The following is a 2036-nucleotide window of genomic DNA, read 5'->3' on the forward strand; positions in this document are numbered from 1 at the left end:
CCAGAGTCACTCTGAATCTATTCTTGTTCCAGGGGCTGTTCTAGTCACAAATCATTTTATACTCAAACTTTAAGATTAATTTGTCTAAAATTTTTCTTTTAAAAGGTAACATCAGGAGTGGGATGCAATGTAGAACTTCCAGTGAACCCTAGGAGCATCCAGTGACCAAGTGAGGTTTCTGCTGGGTCCATTGTGTCCATTGCTGTCTTGCAGCAACTGGAGATTGTGAGTAAATTCTCTCAAATTCTGAAGTTACACAGATTTGTTTTTGAAGTATTTGAGTTTGCTTGAGCAATTTTTTTTTTTTTTTGAGACTGAGTCTTGCTCAGTCACCCAGGCTGCAATGCAGTGGTGCTATCTCGGCTCACTGCAACCTTTGTCTCCCAAGTTCAAGCAATTCTCCCGTCTCAGCCTCACAAGTAACTGGGATTACAGGCACCCGCCATCATGCACGGCTAATTTTTGTATTTTTGTACAGATGGGGTTTCACCATGTTGGCCAGGCTGGTCTTGAACTCCTGACCTCAGGTGACCCACCCGCCTCAGACTCCCAAACTGCTGGGATTACAGGCGTGAGCCACAGCACCCAGCCTGAGCAATTTTTTTATACAGTCTGTGTTCAGAAGTCACAATGGAAATGACTAGGTCCAGGATAAAATTGGATCTGATAATTAACAGGATTAGATACAGCTAGATGCTTTGGATATCTGACAGTGGTAGACAGAAACTTGCAGTAAATGACAATATGATAGTGATATAAACTCCAGCTTTTGGAAATTTGCAGAATTTTTTTTTTGTTTTGTCCCTTTTGTTTTGATTCTTGTGAGCTTAGAGGAAAAAAAAAGTTGATCAAGAGGACTCCCTCTTCCATCTACACCTACATTTGCACTTACAAGTATTAGGCCCTAAAAGCAGCAAATGCTTACAAAAAAAGGCAAAATTATACTAACGATGATTTTAAATTACAACGAAATGTTCTAAATGAACAATGTTGCACTTTAAAAAAATGCATTTAATAATGAGACCTCCCAAATTAGTTTAACACCAGGGATGCTTACTGATGTGCAGAAGCTTCTAAAAAAATTTCAATATTTTACTGCCTTTTAAAAAAGACTCTTTATAAAAGGCAAATAAAACACTGAAGCAACTAATTGATAAGAAATAATGAATCCATAAGCCTTTGGATTAGTTTACTCTGAAGGTAAAAAGAAAGCTGGATAAGACGTTTATAAAAAGTAAGCTCTCGGGTAACGTAGGCTTGCTTTTATTCTTCAGAGCTATTCATGCTGAATCCACGCATACAGAATGCTTTCTTTGCCATATTAGTTAATGAGTTTCACTTTGAAATAAGTAATTTCAACTAAGAAACCAAAGCTAAGTTAAGAAGACTGCCTGTTGAATCATATCAGTCTCCAAAATGTACCTTAAAGGCATTTAGCTGACCATTTTGAAACCATGTTGTAAAATAAATGTGCACTTATAAAGGAAATATCAATTTGCAAAAGTGTATGCGTCTGCACCAGGAAGAAAGGGAGGACTGAGTCACTAGAAACTTCTAGCATTAGTTTTAATTTACATGACAAGTCTTACCTTTATTTAGGGTGTTTTTCCTTGCTATCTTGTCTTAGCTTATACCATCCTTCCTTGGTTTGAACAAATGACTGTACACTATATAGGCTTGAAATCTCAGCTCTGTGCTTTGGAGATATTAATTTTTACCTTGCTTTCCCTAAGAATCAGTTCATGATAAGAAGTGTAAATTTAAAGCTGGGCAGCAACTGGAGATTGTGAGTAAATCATCTCTCAAATTCTGAAGCTCCACAGATTTGTGTTTGAACTACCTGAGTTTGATTGTTTTTTGATACAATCTGTGTTCAGAAGTCACAACAGAAATTGGACTGGATCTATGATAGCACACACCTGTAGCCCCAGCTACTCAGGGGGCTGAGGCGGTACAGTCTATTGAGCCCAGAAGTTCAAGGCTACTATGTGCTATGATCATGCCTATGAATGGCCACTGCAGTCTAGCCTGGGTAA

This window comes from Homo sapiens, chromosome X, assembly GCF_000001405.40.
Source record: "Homo sapiens chromosome X, GRCh38.p14 Primary Assembly".
Classification (NCBI taxonomy): domain Eukaryota; kingdom Metazoa; phylum Chordata; class Mammalia; order Primates; family Hominidae; genus Homo; species Homo sapiens.